Raw genomic sequence first — 19,373 nt, 5'->3', positions numbered from 1 at the left:
TTAATCTGCAATGTTAGTTATTATTCTATGTTATTGGTATTCAATCAATTGATATTGGTATAGCTATCTTCAAATTTTATTAAAAATAGCTATTTTTTCTCAAATATTTGCTTTTGACTTCTTTCTTGGAGCATGCGTTGAGCTGAAACTATATCAAATCAAACATGGGACCAAGAAAGTAGCCTCTAAAAAGATCTTTTTCAGGTCAAGGAGAATCTATAGTGATCCAGAAACAGTATGACCATCACTATGTCAAGTTCAGCACTTCCCTAGGATCATATTTTTTTTCCTATGGTGTGACTGTTCTCCTCCCTATCTTCTCGTTCTTTTCCCAAATTAATGCCCTCAGTTCCCACGTACTTTTGATGGTTCTGTTAGGAATAACGCTCAAAATCTTAAGGAAACTGAACACTCGAACAAAGGATTCTTAGCAAAGCAATTTTACTTCTGCGCAGAGGGGTGCCTCCTTGGCCAGTTGCCAGGACAGCATACCTGAAGAAATGGGCACGAGAGCCTTTATTCCTGATGCAAGTCCTGCCCCTGTACCCTTTCCCCATTGGCTGGGGTCAGGTCATACAATCTAAACTAATTCTGGTTGGCTAAACATTTGATTTTTTTTAGATAAGTTGGGCACGTAAATGAAAGCAGAGAGGAAAGGGGAAGGGATGTCTGTAATGAGCTAGAAAGTTAGTTTTCTTTCTAAATAAGGAAAGGAACGTGAGCTGGTACTGATAATGCCTGGTACTGTGGCGTGCCTGGGCATCTAACAAAGGCAAAAAGGAAAAAAAGGAGAAAAAGGGAAAACGGTGGGAGGGACTATGAATTAAAGAATAAAAGATTGATTGGGTTATTTGAAGAGAAACCTCATCATATCCCACAGTTCTATTAATGTGCATCATTCAAATGAGGACATACCTTGAAAATCTAAGGGTCCACATATTTGACCGTAGAATGTAAACTAAAAATTAAATTCCAAGCCTCCCAACTGACTGAACAGATTATCTCATTGCAAAGAGGAACCCAGAGTAACCCTGAAAACTGAATTCTTGGCTACAATAGGATGGGTGTCAGTCATACTTCATTAAACCCCTTCCCTTGCTAACCATGAGTAGGTTTTTCTCCCTATGTGCTTGACAAAAACCAGGCCTTTCAAAAGACTCTACCACTAACGTCAATCAACCACCTGACACCCCTCTATTTTTGTCTAATAAGAGACTACCAACCACAGAGTGGTTCTGGCCAGTCTAGAGAGAATGCACAGTAAGGGTTTTTGTGTCCTCTGCTTCACCTTTTGATATCAAAACATCCAACACCTCTACCCACAGATCATGCCAATGCCACCGTTTTTTGTACATGGGAACCATGAAGGAGTATGAAGCTGAACTGCACATGGGCAGAGATCTCTTTTCATAAATATTCACAATTCCTCCTGTAGCTTATTGAATAAGTATATTTGGCAAACTTGCTCAGTATAAATTACTATTCTCTTTGCCCCTCCCTCAAAGTGTCTGTTACTGGCTTCCAGCCAAGGCTGTGCTTTCCAGCCTGTCTGAATGGCCACCCTGCAGGCTGCAGCCATTTATGAGAAATAAAGCTGTCCTTATAAAATTTATGACCTTGACATTCTTCAAAATAAGTTTTATTTTTATATAATAAATATGTATGTTTGTTCACTCTTTCATTTACTTCATCATTATAATGTTTCTAACATTGTTGCTCTTTGACCTTTTAATAATCTTTTTTCATTATTCTCTAAGCCCCTTCACTACTACTAAATGCATTTATCTTCTTTCAAATTACTAAGCCCTGAAGGAAGTAAATTGCTATGATAATAACTTCTCTGTGTTTGTTCCATTAAATAACATATAACAGTCTCCAGCTTTAAGCACACTTTTTCCACTTAATGCACTGGGTTGCTCAAATAAATACCAATTTCTCATGTAGAAGTTGGCTTTGTAAATAAATGTATCTTACTCTGTGGGCAATTTTGGACATTGGTAAAACAATAATTATAATTTGAAAAAGCAACCTTTTGACACAAAAATATATTGTAGAAACAGAGGCAAATTACATATTAATATATTTTATTTTTCCCACTAGCTAAGAATACATGTTATAAACTTCAACAATTTATTTTCTTCCCCAGATACCACATAATATCCTATATTGAAAAATGCTCAACTATCATTATCAAAGCTTTTTTTTTTTCTGTTCTTTTTTTGGCTCACTTGTTTGAATATTTACTTTTAGGCATATTGAAATAGAATGAAATAAGTTTACCTGTGTATATAGGAATATTTGGATGAGTTAGGGTTAGTAATTCAAAGTTAAAGTCCTTAATATAATGACAAGTAAAAGAATGATGAAGATTTTGCAATTTAAAGGAACACTTGATTTGTGATTACATATTTATCTGATATTAAAATGTCTTTCCTTATATTATGTCCTTTATGAAAGGTCTGCCTTTTGGGACTCTTTCTATCCATTTCTCAAATATTTCAATGACAAGCTAAAGTCATATGCTGTCAGAAGTTGTTCCTCACCTTCTTATTCTAGGAGACTGCCTCCTCCCTATAGAAGTCTTGGCCTTATAATATTATATCTGCTATTTATTTATCCTGCTCATACCACCAACTGCATCAATGAAAATCATGCTTAATCATCTAACATGTGTATTCAAATTATGTCTTTGCCTTTTCAAATTACCTTCATGCCTAAAAAGCATTTATTTCAATTGCAGCTACCTGACAAAGAGTGTTCAACAAAATCATTGCTCCCTGGAAAGAGTCAAACCATCAAACCAATCATAGAATGAAACTAACTTTTTAGTAACCTGTTATCAGTGAACAATCAGGAATTTTAAGGTCTAATCACAGAACACACTGTTAGACAACAAAAATTTTTAAGCAGCACCAAAAATATATAATGGTTCACTTTTAATATTTTTCCTTTATTTGAAAGTATGGTAGGCCAGGCACAGTGGCTAGCGCCTCTAATCCCAGTGCTTTGGGAGGCCGAAGCGGGCAGATCACCTAAGTTCAGGAGTTTGAGACCAGCCTGGCCAACATGGTAAAACCCTGTCTCTACTAAAAAAATACAAAAAATTAGCCAGGCATGGTGACAAGTGCCTGTAACCCCAGCTACTCGGGAGGCTGAGACAAGAGAATTGCTTGAACCTGGGAGGCAGAGGTTGCAGTGAGCTGAGATTGTGCCACTGCACTCCAGCCTGGGCGACAAAGTGAGACTCTGTCTTGGAAAAAAAAAAAAAAAAGAAAAAGAAAAAGAAATATGCTAAATATGTAATTAATTATTCAGCCACCATATAACCAAAGCTTTAACTACAGCAACCCTTTCTATTCCAAGGTACTCCTATGCCACCTAGGGGCTGGCACTAACAGTCCTATTAACCCACTTACCTCAACTATTTAATAGTGGGAAGTAGTAATACCAAGTATGCTTATCTGAATAACCTCAGGATCTCCATTCTTACTCTGCCTGGAACCTCTTGGTTTGGTCTTCTTTAACATCTCAGTACCTCATACATCTCTCATACTCACATCTCAACTTTGCTCTGTGTTGATCTATCCGGAACACATTTACTCTTCCTCTCATTACTAAATCTATGTTTGTTTCCTGTGGAATTCTCACATCATAACTAATACATTCCCTAATATCAGTAAAATATTTAGCAGTTATCTCTTATAAATATGAACTTCTTTAAAATATGTATTATTTTTCTTCAGTTCTTTCTAATCCTACCAGAGTATCAAAATAAAGGTTGTTCATTTTTCCATATCTCATCAACCTCAAAGTTATCTGCCTCACTCTGAACGGTTGCTTCCAAATTTCACCATTTCGTGTCACACTCCATTTTTTAAAAGTAAACTCCTCACGCCTATAATCCCAGCACTTTGGGAGGCCGAGGCGGGTGGATCACGAAGTCAAGAGATGGAGACCATCCTGGCCAACATGGTGAAACCCCGTCTCTACTAAAAATACAAAAATTAGCCGGGCATGGTGGCGGGTGCCTGTAGTCCCAGCTACTCGGGAGGATGAGGCAGGAGAATCACGAACCCGGGAGGCGGAGCTTGCAGTGAGCCGAGATAGCGCCGCTGCACTCCAGCCTGGTGACAGAGCGAGACTCCGTCTCAAAAAAAAAAAAAAAAAAAAAGTAAACTCTATTTGGTGTACTAATATTGACAACTTCTCTGTTTCTGGCTACTCATCTTTTTGGCATCCCCATGTATGTATTGAAGACTATGGTACTTGCCTAACCAGATTACTCAGTATTCAAAGCTGGTCTAAAACCTCCAGTGAATTTAATGTTAATGTACTTAGAAATGGTTCTAATTCACTAAATTTCAATGCTTTGATTTAATGTTTGCAATGGCAATATTTTCTATTTTCTTTTATACTTCTACACCTTTAGCTCAACATGAAGCTTCTTGTCTTCAACAGATCCACTTTTTAAATGACAAATTAATAGAAACTGACGGACCATAACATCATTTCTTACAATTTATGTGGTTAATTGTACTCAAGATCCAAGTTTTCCACCCCCAATACATACCGTCCTTCTATGTATCCCTATCGTTGACAAATCCCATATTTATTTTTCTAAATATAGGTAGCATGTCCTTCCAAATAGAATAATTTTTCTCATACAGGATTAATCCAATTATTTTTATCTTTGTGGACACACTTAAGATGTTGAGTGGTGCTAGAGACAAACACTAAGTCATTTAGATTAAATTCATTGTCACCAACTTCAAGCAGACCCTCAGTATTTCTCATCAACCCTACTGTATTTTTTCCAATCAGTACTCTCTAGTTCTCAATAACTCTTTATTCTACACTCACCGTATGATTCAAAATTTTCAAACTTCTTCAATACTATTGGGAGATGACTTTGCCTTCACCAGAAAGGGCTTAAATAACTGGGAAGAAATGCTCTTCTCTTCACATAAACAAAACCAATACCTGATGAATGAACTTACATCATGTACAAGGTTTTTCCTCCACTCAGTTTCTATATCTGATCTACTGCCATCTCAAAAGCGACTCAATTCATTATTTTTCTCCTTTCCAGTGTCTTCAGTATTTCCCATTTCTAAAACTTATTTCCATGAGTATTCAAAAATTTTCAAATATCTCTGAAACTGCCCTCTCTTACCACCAAACTCTCTTCCGTCGATTGCCATGGGTCTCCCATTTTCCTCAAAGCCTACGTCTTTGAAAATGATGCTCATAGTAGTTATTTCCATTTTCTTAGCTTTATTCACTTCTTATCCAATTCCCATGAAGATTCTTACTTATTCCACTGAAATTACTTTCAAAATATTCAAATAGAATGCCAATGTCACTGTGTTTTATAAACATTATATACTGAATATTGTTCAAATTATTGCAGTAGTTAATACTATTTGCCACTTTATCTTTCTGAAAACACAGATGCCTGTATTAGTCTGTTTTCACACTGCTGATGAAGACATACCTGAGACTGGGCAATTTAAAAAGGAAAGAGGTTTAATGGAGAACTCACAGTTCCACATGGCTGGGGAAGCCTCACAATTATGGCAGAAGGGAAGGAGGAGCAAGTTGCATCTGACTTGGATAGCGGCAGGAAAAACAGAAAGCCTGTGCAGAGAAAACCCCTTTGTAAAAACCACTGGATTCATGAGACACATTCACTATCATGAGAGCAGCACAGGAAAGACCCGCCCCCATGATTCAATCATCTCCCACTGGGTCCCTCTCACAGCATGTGGGAAGTATGGGTGCTACAAGATGAGATTTGGTTGGGGACACAGAGCCAAACCATATCATTCTGCTCCTAACCCTTTCCAAATCTCATATCTTCACATTTCAAAACCAATTGTGCCTTCCCAACAGTCCCCAAAAGTCTCAACTTATTTCAGCATTAACTCAAAAGTGCAAAGTCTCATCTGAGACAAGACAAGCCGCTTCCACCTATGAGCCTGTAAAATCAAAAGCAAGTTAGTTACTTCCTAGATACAATGGAGGTACAGGCATTGGATAAACACAGCCATTCCAAATGGGAGAAATTGGCCAAAACAAAGGGGCTACAGTCCCCACGCAAGTCTGAAATCCAGTGGGGCAGTCAAATTTTAAAGCTCCAAAGTAATCTCCTCTGACTCCATGTCTCACATTCAGGTCATGCTGATGCAAGAGGTGGGTTTCCATAGTCTTGGGCAGCTCTGCCCCTGTGGCTTTGCAGGGTACAGCCTCCCTTCAAGCTGCTTTCATGGGCTGGCATTGAATGTCCGCGGCTTTTTCAGGCACATGCACGATGCAAGCTGTCGGTGGATCTATCATCCTGTGGTCTGGAGGAGGGTGGCGCTCTTCTCACAGATCCACTAGGTGGTGCCCCATTAGGGACTCTGTGTGGGGGCTCCAATCCCACATTTCCCTTTCTCACTGCCATAGCAGAGATTCTCCATGAGGGCCTCATCCCTGCAGCAAACCTCTGCCTGGGTATCCAGGCATTTCCATACATCTGAAATCTAGGCAGAGGTTCCCAAACCCAATTCTTGACTTCTGTGTACTGGCAGGCTCAACACCACGTGGAAGCTGCCAAGGCTTGGGGCCTCCACCCTCTGAAGCCATGGCCTGAGCTCTAGGTTGGCCCCTTTCAGCCACAGCTGGAGCAGCTGGGATGGAGAGCACCAAGTCCCTAGGCTGAACACAGCATGGGGACCCAGGGCCTGGCCTCTGAAATCACTTTTTCCTCCTAGGCCTCCAGACCTTTGATAGGATGGGGTGCCATGAAGACCTCTGACATGCCCTGGAGACATTTTTCCCATTGTCTTGGAGATTAACATTCCGCTCCTCTGCAGCCAGCTTGAATTTCTTCTCAGAAAATAGAATTTTCCTTTCTATTGCATTGTCAGGTTGCCAATTTTCTGAACTTTATGTTCTGCTTCCCTTATAAAACCGAATGCCTTTGGCAGCACCCAAGTCACCTCTTGAATGCTTTGCTGCTTAGAAATTTCTTCCCCCAGATTCCCTAAATCATCTCTCTCAAGTTCAAAGTTCCACAAATCTTTAGGGCTGGGGCAAAATGCTGCCAGTCTCTTTGCTACAACATCACAAGAGTCACTTTTACTCCAGTTCCCAACACGTTTCTCATCTTCATTTGAGACCACCTCATCCTGGACTTTATTGTCCGTATCACTATCAGCATTTTGGGCAAAGCCATTCTACAAGTCTCTAGGAAGTCCCAAACTTTCCCACATTTTTCTGTCTTCTTCTGAGCCCTCCAAACTGTTCCAGCCTCTGCCTGTTACTCAGTTCCAAAGTCACTTCCACATTTTCAGGTATCTTTTCAATAGTGCCCCATTCTACTGGTACCAATTTACTGTATTAGTTCATTTTCATACTGCCAATAAAGACATACTCAAGACTGGACAATTTACAAAGGAAAGGGGTTTAATGGGGAACTCCCAGCTCCACGTGGCTGGGGAAGCCTCACAATCATGGCAGAAGGGAAGGAGGAGCAAGTCATATCTTGAATGGATTGTGGCAGGCAAAAAGAGAGCTTGTGCAGGGAAACTACCGTTTTTAAAACCATAAGATCTCGTAAAATCCATTCACTATCATGAGAACAGAATGGGAAAGACTCCTCTTCATGATTCAATCATCTCCCACTGGTCTCTCCCACAACACATGGGAATTATGGGAGCTACAGGATGAGATTTGTGTGAGGACACAGAGCCAAACCATATCACTACCTTTGTTCTCATGGCTCCACACTGTCCTGGTCTTTATCTTGTATTGAGTAACTCTATTTCACTGCCCTCTGCAAACTCTCTTCTTCAGCTCTTACCTTCATTGATATCCCTCAGAGCTTAATGCTAATCTCTTCTTATTATTCTGAAGATTTCCACTTTCATTACTTTAGAATCTAAATGTATAGCCAGTGGTTACTTTCCTACCTCTCTGCCAACATTGCCAAATGCTTATTGCATTTCCATAATTTACAGTAACCTAAAACTCAAACATCTTCCTACACAGGATGCACCATCTTTTCACCACAACATTTTTCACATTTTTCCTGTGTTTCTATGCCTTCAGTGCATGGCCTCACAATGCAATACAAATAGTTGTCCAGTCAGGATTATGGGAGTTAGCAATTTTCTTTTCTCATTCTCAGACCAACTTCCAGCCAATCACTAAATTATAGTCCATTTTTTTTAATTTGGTGAGACTTTTGTGTCTGTGTGTGTGTGTGTGTATGTGTGTGTGTGTGTGTGTGTGTGCTCTGTCACGCAGGCTGTAGTGCAGTGGTGCGATCTCAGCTCACTGCAACCTCCACCTCCCAGTTTCAAGCAATTCTCCTGTCTCAGCCTCCCGAGTAGCTGGGACTACAGGTGCCCACCATTACGCCCAGCTAAGTTTTGTATTTTTAGTAGAGACAGAGTTTCACTATATTGGTCAGGCTGGTCTTGAACTCCTGACCTTAGATGATCCACCTGCCTTAGCATCTCAAAGTGCTGGGATTACAGGCATGGGCCACTGCTCCTGGCCTTTTTTTTTTTTTTTTTTTTTAATGTCCAACATGTAGTTTTTTCCACCTTCCAGACACGCTCAATATTCTAGGTTACTATCTTCTGAAACATTGAATTTTTTACTTCCAGTTTAGATCCTTCATTCTTCTCTCAATATTAAACCATAATGATCTTTCAAAAACACAGATCTGCTCATATAATTTCTCTGATGAACCTTTTCCTGACTTGTCACCATCTTGGGTAAATTATGAATTTTTAATGACCACAAAGCCCTTTATTATCAGGCCTCTGCTACCTTGTTCCTCCAATCTGTAAAAAGAAAAACCTTAGACAAACTAATTTAGCAGAGTTTAATTGAACAAAATATGATTTACAAATTGGGCAGCCCCTGAACCAGAACAGGTTCAGAGAGGCTGCAACCCTGCTGCAGGGTTGATTTATGGACAGAAAAAGGAAAGTGATGCACAGAAAATGGAAGTGAGGTGCAGAAACAGCTGGATTGGTTACAGCTTGGCAGTTAGAACAGTTGGCCACCTTTGATTGCCTGAAACTCTGTGACTGACACAACAGTAGGTTACAGTCTTTTTATACATTAGGTTGAGTTACAGTTCACTATGTATGGAGAAATCTTTAGGCCAAACATATATAAGGAAGCAGCTTTTGGCTAAATTTAAAAAATCCAATTGAACTTGCTTCTAGCTTTCTCTACTTATAACAGTAAAGTACATTTTTAATCCTAATTACTTATGGTAGGAAGAAAGGAAAACTAAAAATTAATGATCAAAAGATCCACTGTACTAGTTAGACAAATAACAATAAAATGATCTTTGGAATAAATATAAATATGTAAATATTAAAGTTATACCCTAGAATTAAAACAAAAGATATTAAAAATACAGTAGAAGAGATCAAGAAACAAAAGTTGGATCTTGGAAAACCAAAAAAGAAATGAAAAAACATTTTAAAAATGATTTAAATCACACTAAAAAGACAACATAAATAAACAATATTAGAAATAGAAAATACTGAGAGCTTATGTATGTCATAATTATAAATGGTGTAGATATTTAAAAGGTAAATAAAAAGAAATAATACGTTTATGTCAGTAGATTTGACTGTTGTTTATGTATGTAAAAATCACAACTTTTTCTAAACAAAGACGACATAAAAACTCTTAATTATCTTATAAGATTAAATACTTTGTATCAGCAATCACAAATCACCCATAAGGAACAATTCCATAGCCAGATAATCTTACCATGCAGTTCTGTTAAGCATTAAAGACTTAAGTAGCTCTAAATTCACAAAATTAACCCCCCCCAAAAAAAAGAAATAAAATTCTCCAACTCATTTTATGTTAGCATAACTTTTAACTCTATACAAGAAAAACAGAACTTGAGAAAAAATTAAAAGCACTTTGTACATACTCATCAAAATTAATGCCACAAAATTAATGCCTCTGAATATATTAGCTAATAAAATCTAAAAATGTATTTCAAAAGATAATATTATGACCAAATGGGATAGTTCCAGAAATGCAAGGTTTGTACATTAAAAAAAGTAGTATGATTCATAATATTTATAAGTTAATGGAGAAAAATCTAATGATTACCTCAATAGATGCCAAAAAGTCATGTAAAAGTAAAATATCTTAATTATGGTAAAATTTTTAGAAACTAGAATTAGAAAGGAATTCAGTCAATATCATAAGTTGTGGCTACAAAAAACAACAATAACAAAAGCAATAATGACAAAAACATCACATTTAATGGTGAAATATTGCAGGAATTCTGTTGATACTGCCTATATATGTAAGTGTGTTTGTCATTTTCACATCTATGGAACATTTTCTGGGATACCACTGCAAGCACAAGACATGAAAAAGTTATGAAATGAGTGAAAAGGAATACCTGATACTTATACATATTTCATAGATGTTATAATCATTCACATAAAAATTAAAAATAATCTATAAGTAAATAATTAGAAACAATTAGGAATCTGGAAAGGAGTCTGAGTAATAAGATCTAACAAGCAAATTTGTTGCATTTATATGTACCTGTCACAGATGAAAAATAAAACTATTATTAAAATAGAAAAATGTAATTATAGTCAAGCATTACCTAACAATGGGGATATGTCCTGAGAAATGCATTGCTATTGTGCAAACATTGTGGAATGTACATAAGCAAACCTAAATGCTTTCGTGTACTATACACCTAGGCTACATGGCATAGCCTATTGCACCTAGGCTACAAACTTGAACAGCATGTTACTGTACTGAATATTGGAGGAAATTTTAACACAATGGTAAGTATTTGTGTATCTAAATATAGTTAAACAAAAAAGTACACTAAAAATATGGTATATAAAATAAAAAACAGTACACCTGTGTAAGGCACTTACCATAAATGTAGCTTGCAGAACTGGAAATTGACCTGAATAAGTCAGTGAGTGGTGAGTGACTGTGAAGGCTTAGGACATTACCGTACACCGTGGTAGACTCTGTAATCACTGTACACTTGGGCTACCCAAAATTTATTTTAAAAACTTCTTTCTTCAATAATAAATTAACCTTAGCTTACTGTAACATTTTTACTTACGAACCTTTTACTTTTTTTTAACTTTTCGACTCTATTACAATAACAGCTTAAAACAAAAACACAGTCGGGTGTGGTGGCTCACGCCTGTAATCCCAGCACTTTGGGAGGCCGAGACAGGAGGATCACGAGGTCAAGAGATCGAGACCAGCCTGGCCAACATAGTGAAAATCCCGTTTCTACTAAGAATACAAAACTTAGCTGGGTGTGGTGGCACGTGCCTGTAATTGTAGCTACTTGGGAGGCTGAGGCAGGAGAATCACTTGAACTCGGGAGGTGGAGGTTGCAGTGAGCCGAGATCAGGCCACTGCACTCCAGCCTGGTGACAGAGCAAGAATCCATCTCAAAAAAAAAAAAATAAAATAAAATAAACACATTGTACAGCTGTACAAAAATATTTTATTTCTTTATATGCAAATTCTATTTTTTATATTTTTAATCTTTGTTTTACTTTTAAAACTTTCTTGTTTAAAAAGAAGACAAATACAAATACAATAACTTAGGCCTACCCAGAGTGAGAGGGTGAGAATCATCAATACTACTGTCTTCTACCTCCACAAATTGTCCCACTGGAAGCTCTTCACAGATAATAACAGGCATGAAACTGTCATCTCCTGTGATAATGCCTTCTTCTGGAATACCTCCTGAAGGATCTACCTGATGCTGTTTTACAGTCAACTTTTTTTTTAATAAGTAAGGGAACACTCTAAAACTAACAATAAAAAGTATACCATGGTAAATACATAAACCAGTAACATAGTTGTTGGTTTTCAAGTATTATGTACTGAACATAATTATATGTGCTAAACTTTTATGTAACTGGCAGCACAGTAGGTTTGTATCCACCAGGATTAACATAAACACAATGCTTTGTGCTAAGACACTATGAGAGCTACGACATTAGTAGGCAATGAGAATTTCTCAGCTTGGTTATAATCTTATGGAACCACCATCATATATGCAGTTATGCAGCACAAGACAGGTATTAATTTATCACGAAATATTTTAAAAACAATTAGAAAAACATATAAAATTTTTCTACTTTAGAAGATGTAATTAAATAGAAGGATATACATCTTCATGTACTGTATTACTATATGAAAGTTTTCTCCAAACTGACATGTAGACTCAGTGAGATTTCAACTGAATTTCAACTTAATACTGACAGTGTGTGTGTGTGTCTGTGTGTGAGAGAGTTTCTTAATAAGATAATTCTAAAATTGATGTGGAAGTGCCTTTGACAAGCTATATCTGAAACATACTTCAAGAAGAAAAAGAAGACAATAAGTCTTTGTAAGTTATTTCAATGTCAGTTATCAAAACTCATTGTAAAGCTATATGCAGCTATAAATAGTATATATGGTATTTATACTATATAAATAGTATACTATATAGTATACTACACAGTAATATACTGTATATAAGTATAAATAGACTAATGGAACACAATAAGAAGTCCAGAAACATACGTGTACTTGATCAATAACACAGGAATATTTTATATTTGTAGTGAAAGGGCAGATTTTTCTTAGTCTTGGGAAAATGGGCTAATATGGAAATAAATTAATTTCGATTCATACTTTATACCATAGTCAAAAATCAATTAAAGGGATATTCAATACACTAATGCAAAATACCACATTAAGAACATTTTTTAAAAACACAAGAAAATATTTTCAAATCTTTAGTGTAGGAAATAATATCTTAAATGTGACTCTGAAAATGCAAATTATAAAGGAAAAGTGAATAAATAATTACAGAAATCTACATATTGCACAAATGTTTCCTAGGCAAATGCTTCAATAGTACCATTAAAATTTAAAGTAAAATTGATTTGAGCATAAAGTTACAATTTTTTTTTAAATAAAATTCATTACAGGCCGGGCACGGTGGCTCGTGCCTGTAATCCCAGCACTTTGGGAGGCTGAGGCGGGCAGAACACGAGATCAGGAGATCGAGACCATGCTGGCTAACACGGTGAAACCCCGTCTCTAGGGAGGCTGAGGGAGGAGAATAGCGTGAACCCGGGAGGCGGAGTTAGCAGTGAGCGAAGATCGCGCCACTGCATTCCAGCCTGGCGGCAGAGCGAGACTGTCTCCAAAAAAAAAAAAAAAAGCTTTACAATGGAATACTTTAAAAATATTAAATTAGGAGAAGATGTTTTTGATCTACATCACAATGTACTTACACCAAGAATATGTAAAGTATTGCTATGATTAATAAGAAAGAAAACTCAGCTTTAAAAAATAAAATTTTTAAAAGTATCATACATGTATTAAATCATAAAATGATGTGATAAAAATGAATTTCTGTTCAATTAAATTGAGAGATTCATTTTAAAATTCTGAGATACAATTTTATTATGTTATTCAACACGTTTTAAAGATCTAGGTATTTGTTCTCATGCTGCTAATAAGGACATACTTGAGACTGTGTAATTTACAAAGGAAACAGGTTTAATTGACTCACAGTTCAGCATGGTGGGGGAGGCCTCAGGAAACTTACAATCATGGTGGAAAAGGAAGCAACCATGTCCTTCACATGGCAGCAACAAAGAGAAGTGCAGAGCAAAAGGGGGAAAAGCCTGCTATAAAACCATCAGATCTCCTGAGAACTCACTATCACCAGAACAGCAGCATGGGAGTAACGGACCTCATGATTCAATCACCTCACACTGCGTCCCTCCCACTACATTTGCGGATTATGGGAACTACAATTCAAGATGAGATTTGGCTGGGAACGCAGCCAAACCATATCAATCTACAATATTAAATTTCAGGTTGGTGCAAAAGTAATGCATTTTTTGCCATTGCAGATAACAGCAAAAACCACAATTACTTTTGCACCAACCTAATATTCACAAGTAAGCACAGCAAGGAGAGCTTTTATACACAGCTATGTAAAGAGTAGGCTAGGAAATGTTCTTGGAATAATACTTTAACAACTCTTAGTAAAGTGGAGCAATTCCATTTATAAGTATTTGGTTGAGATAAATTTATGCATGTGTATTCTGTTGAAAGCACAATATAATTCATAGTGCCATTGTTTATCTTAGTAACATACTGAGGATATCCCAATATCCATCAAGACTAGAATGAGAAGACATTTTGGCTATATTGATACAGTAGAGTAGTATTCAGAACTGAAAATGAACTATATAAAACTATACAGAGCAACAAGGTGAAAATAACAGAATACATAAAGTATGATTGAACTTACACAAAATTTAAAGCCATGCCATACCTAACAATGAATGCCTCAGAAAAAAATGCATGAGTGAAAAACTGAAAAAAATCAGAATGATTAAAGGAAAAAGAAGGATAGTGTTTAACCCTGGTGAGGAGGAAGAATATATTATCAGAGAAAGGGACTGACATCAACATAAGGGATCTCTTAATTTGGATGAGGAATTCCTTGGTGTTCATTTTATTCTTATTAACAACACTAGGTTTTATATAGCTGTGTGTGTGTGTGTGTGTGTGTGTGTGTGTGTTTAGTGTGTTTACCATCATTATAGACTTGGCCAAGTTAAAAAGACCGCTTTCCAAAAGAGTTAGAATCAGACAATGCTCAATTTTAGTAGCACCTTTGGTTGTCCATTTTCAAATATATGCTGCAGAATTAAATTATACTATGTATTCTCTTAATGAAGATGGGGTGAAGAAGCTCAATCATATATTGATTTTTTTCTTTGTATTTCTTTGATCTTCCTATTGGCAGGACTTGGAACTAATAGCTTTAGGGATGGAAGAACACAATTTGGCAAACGTAACACTTACTCAAATATCATAGATTTGGAGTTTAAAATTGAACTCACGCATATCGAGGTTCAAGTTCCATTTGTTAGTAGAGAAAATCAATTTCTCGTTCAAGAGACGAGGCTTATTTTTGCTAAGATTTCAAAAGGATTTAACACATTCTGTGTGAAAAATAAATATTTGAGTAATTGAGTTAGTAAATACTCAAATATTGATAAAATTACTCAATAATTAATAATTCCTCAAATAAGGAAAAAATAAAAGTATTCTCCAATTTTAAAGTACCCAATGCATCTCTCATACTACTAAGGACTTATGATCTGATTAAAGTCCAGCAGTCAGTTGCCTATACCTTAATGAAGACCACTGGCATTGGAGGAAAGTAAAAATGGACATTTTAGATTGTAATTTTCATTTCCAAGCTCTAGCCCCCAAATCATCAAATATTAAAAGAATATAATATATCTCAAATGTATCTAAAATACCATTTTATATATCTCATTATATCTCAAATGGTATTTTGGATACATTTGAGATATATTTGAGACATATTGTATTCCAAACACAAAAGAAAAGCATCTTGTAATTTAATATTCAACAAAAATATTCAATTGTTGAGGCAATTGAACACAGAAAGTAGCTACTTTTATTATTATTATTATACTTTAAGTTTTAGGATGCATGTGCACAATGTGCAGGTTTGGTACATATGTATACATGTGCCATGTTGCTGTGCTGCACCCATTAACTCATCATTTAGCATTAGGTATATCCCCTAATGCTATCCCTCCCCACTCCCCCCACCCCACAACAGTCCCTGGAGTGTGATGTTCCCCTTCCTGTGTCCATGTGTTCTCATTGTTCAGTTCCCACCTATGAGTGAGAACATGCGGTGTTTGGTTTTTAGTCCTTGCGATAGTTTGCGAGAATGATGGTTTCCAGTTTCATCCATGTCCCTAAAAAGGACATGAACTCTTCATTTTTTATGGCTGCATAGTATTCCATGGTGTATATGTGCTACATTTTCTTAATCCAGTCTATCGTTGTTAGACATTTGGGTTGGTTCCAAGTCTTTGCTATTGTGAATAGTGCCGCAATAAACATACGTGTGCATGTGTCTTTATAGCAGCATGATTTATAATCCTTTGGGTATACACCCAGTAATGGGATGGCTGGGTCAAATGGTATTTCTAGTTCTAGATCCCTGAGGAATCACCACACTGACTTCCACAATGGTTGAACTAGTTTACAGTCCCACCAACAGTGTAAAAGTGTTCCTATTTCTCCACATCCTCTCCAGCACCTGTTGTTTCCTGGCTTTTTAATGATCACCATTCTAACTGGTGTGAGATACAAGCAATGGGGAAAGGATTCCCTATTTAACAAATGGTGCTGGGAAAACTGTTTAGCCATATGTAGAAAGCTGAAACTGGATCCCTTCCTTAAACCTTATACAAAAATTAATTCAAGATGGATTAAAGACTTACATGTTAGACCTAAAACCATAAAAACCCTAGAAGAAAACCTAGGCAATACCATTCAGGACATAGGCATGGGCAAGGACTTCATGTCTAAAACACCAAAAGCAATGGCAACAAAAGCCAAAATTGACAAATGGGATCTAATTAAACTAAAGAGCTTCTGCACAGCAAAAGAAACTATCATCAGAGTGAACAGGCAACCTACAAAATGGGAGAAAATTTTCGCAACCTACTCATCTGACAAAGGGCTAATATCCAGAATCTACAATGAACTCAAACAAATTTACAAGAAAAAAACAAACAACCCCATCAACAATTGGGCGAAGGATATGAACAGGCACTTCTCAAAAGAAGACATTTATGCAGCCAAAAAACACATGAAAAAATGCTCATCATCACTGGCCATCAGAGAAATGCAAATAAAAACCACAATGAAAGTAACTATTTTTAATTCAAAAGTAAAATTAGTAAGCAATTCAAAAAACATTTAAGTCATTCTTAGGAGTGCATAACAAATAAGAAATTCAAAGTTGTCACTCTTTTCCCATAGAAAACTATGTAGTTCTAATAATTATGTTTATTTCTCCAGTATGTTCTTCTGTGCTTTACAATGTTTTCAATATTAAAGCCTCTCAAAGGCTTTAAACAATGACTTTTGTGCTCACAAACTTAGGATATTGAATTCTTATTAATACCACTTAGATGTATCTATAGGGTACTTACCCAAAGAAATCATTCATGGCTATAACCTAAGGACTGAAGAAACATTTCAGCCTAGAAAAAAAAAAGAAATGGTCAAGATCCGTGAAGGAGGGAAACTGAACAGCAGCTCAAACCTGAAAATTCAATTTCTAAAACCTTAAGATAGAAAACTGATCTAGGGAAAGTATTTTAAAGCATAAAATCTCAGCAAGTTAAGACTGTAGAAAAATTAATATTCTTAAACCCTAGGCACTTGACTCAGGAAAAACCCAGATAGCTATAAGACAGGGGGTTAAATCTGATATCAAGTATTAATAATATAAAATTGAATGAGTCCCTTGATCAACAATCATTTAGTGATTGTCTCCTAGTGCAATGGATTATGTTAAACTTAGGGATTCTAAGGACAAAATTCAAACTTTGCCCTCAAAAGAATGATGGATTTTTTTTGGTAAATAATTTCCCCCATTCACAATATAGAAACTAATAGAACTAATAAGAACTAATATGCAGAGTGATTTAAAAATATAAATCAAAGCTCTAACTCATTCTGAGCTAGAGGGTTAAAAATAAAAATATGAGCCTCGAAGTACAAGTATAATGGTGTCCACAGGTAAGACATGAAAATTATTACTGCTACTGCTAAGAGTATCCACAAAGGACAAGAAGGTAGAAGAAAAAGTAGCCAGGAATGGGTCATTAAGAGAAAGGGGGAAACATTTGGGAACATGACAGATGATAAGCCTAAAATTATAGGACCAAAATATAAAGGTTTTGTTTGAAATGTTACAGGCTTTTACGTTTATTTGGAAAGCAATGTGAAATTCCTGAATACATCTATGTAAGGAGAGAAAATGATTTGATTATGATATTAAAGAGATGACTCTGTCAGCAATATGGATATCCAGTTTGTACTTAGGAAGACTCTAAGATGGAGAAAATATTTACAGCTGTTCCCAGCAAGAAATAATGTGGTCTTCAGAAAAAGATGGAAATAAACACATTTTAAAATAAATTTTGAAGGCAAAATCAATAAGATCTAGTAAAATTTTTAATATGGGGAAAGAGACAATATAAAGTGAAGGATGATTTCAGGTTTGTGACTTACTTGTTAAGAAAGTTAAACATATTTCCCCTAACCCTGTCCCACTCAATTTAATACATGGTCCAATACACAGGAGTTCACTCAGTGAAGTATACAATTTGATAGAATAGGAGAATTACAACTTACAGCCAAATCGATGCAGCATATTCTGTGATTCACAGAAACACATTATTAAAGTTATCAGCATGTTACCGGCCTTGCAGGTATTTAGACTAATGTGCTGTCAATGAGAGCAGACCCAAATATTCTAGAGTTTCATTCCCTGTGATATAAATTGAAATAGGTAGCACATATTATGCCCTTATTGTGTGCCATAAACTATTCTAATCTCTTTACATCCATTAACATATTTAATTCTCTACACATCCCTACTAGGTAAGTACTATTATCTTCTCCATTTGATACATGAAGTAACTAAGACATAATGAAATTACAAAGTCTTCCAAAAGCATGTGACTGCTACCAGAATTCAAGCCTAGCCAACCAGTCTGCAGTGTTTTTTCCTTGCTCTTCATACTTAGTTCCTTTGATTTGCATGCATATATATATGTGTTTCTTTGTCTAAGAGAATTTTAATGAGTAAAAGTGATAAATTCACAGTGATAAAGATAGTAAGGAATGTCATGACTCCTGAACTATCAGCCACAGCTTTAAATTTCTTTTTCATTTCAGTTTATTGATGAAATTGTTACTCAGTAGATAAATGCAGTTTAAGTATCATCAGACAAACAGTGCATAATAATCTCACTTATATGTGAAAGTAGAACTCACAGAAGTGGAGGGTAGAAAAGTGGTTATCAGGGACTGGGGGAGTGGAGAATGGGAAATGCAGAAGATTTTGGTTAAAGGATACGAAATTTATTCATTTATTTATTTTGATACAAAGTCTCACTCTGTGACACAGGCTGGAGTGCTGTGGCATGATCTTGGCTCACTGCAGCCTCCACCTCTCGGGATCAAGCAATTCTCGTGCCATAGCCTCCCGAGTAGCAGGGATTACAGGTGTGCACCACCATGCCCAGCTAATTTTTGTATTTTTAGTAGAGATAGAGTTTTGCTATATTGTCCAGGCTGGTCTTGAATTCTTGGCCTCATGTGATCCTGCCTTGGCCTTCCAAAGTGCTGGGATTGTAGGCATGAGCCACCGTGCCTGGCCAAAAGACATAAAATTTAAATTAGAGAGGAGGAGTAAGTTCACG

General features: G+C 36.4%; 1 annotated feature.

The window, feature by feature from the left end:
* Nucleotides 13,722–13,922: a silencer, noted in NCBI's record as "peak4356 fragment used in MPRA reporter construct". NCBI's record gives its function as "represses an SCP1 promoter by STARR-seq MPRAs in K562 erythroleukemia cells {active_cell/tissue: K562}" and the evidence as "EXISTENCE:reporter gene assay evidence [ECO:0000049][PMID:32103011]".

The sequence above is a fragment of the Homo sapiens genome, chromosome 21 (assembly GCF_000001405.40).
Source record: "Homo sapiens chromosome 21, GRCh38.p14 Primary Assembly".
Taxonomy (NCBI): Eukaryota; Metazoa; Chordata; class Mammalia; order Primates; family Hominidae; genus Homo; species Homo sapiens.
Note: the sequence above shows the minus strand (reverse complement) of the source record. Positions and strands in the feature narration are given on the sequence as shown.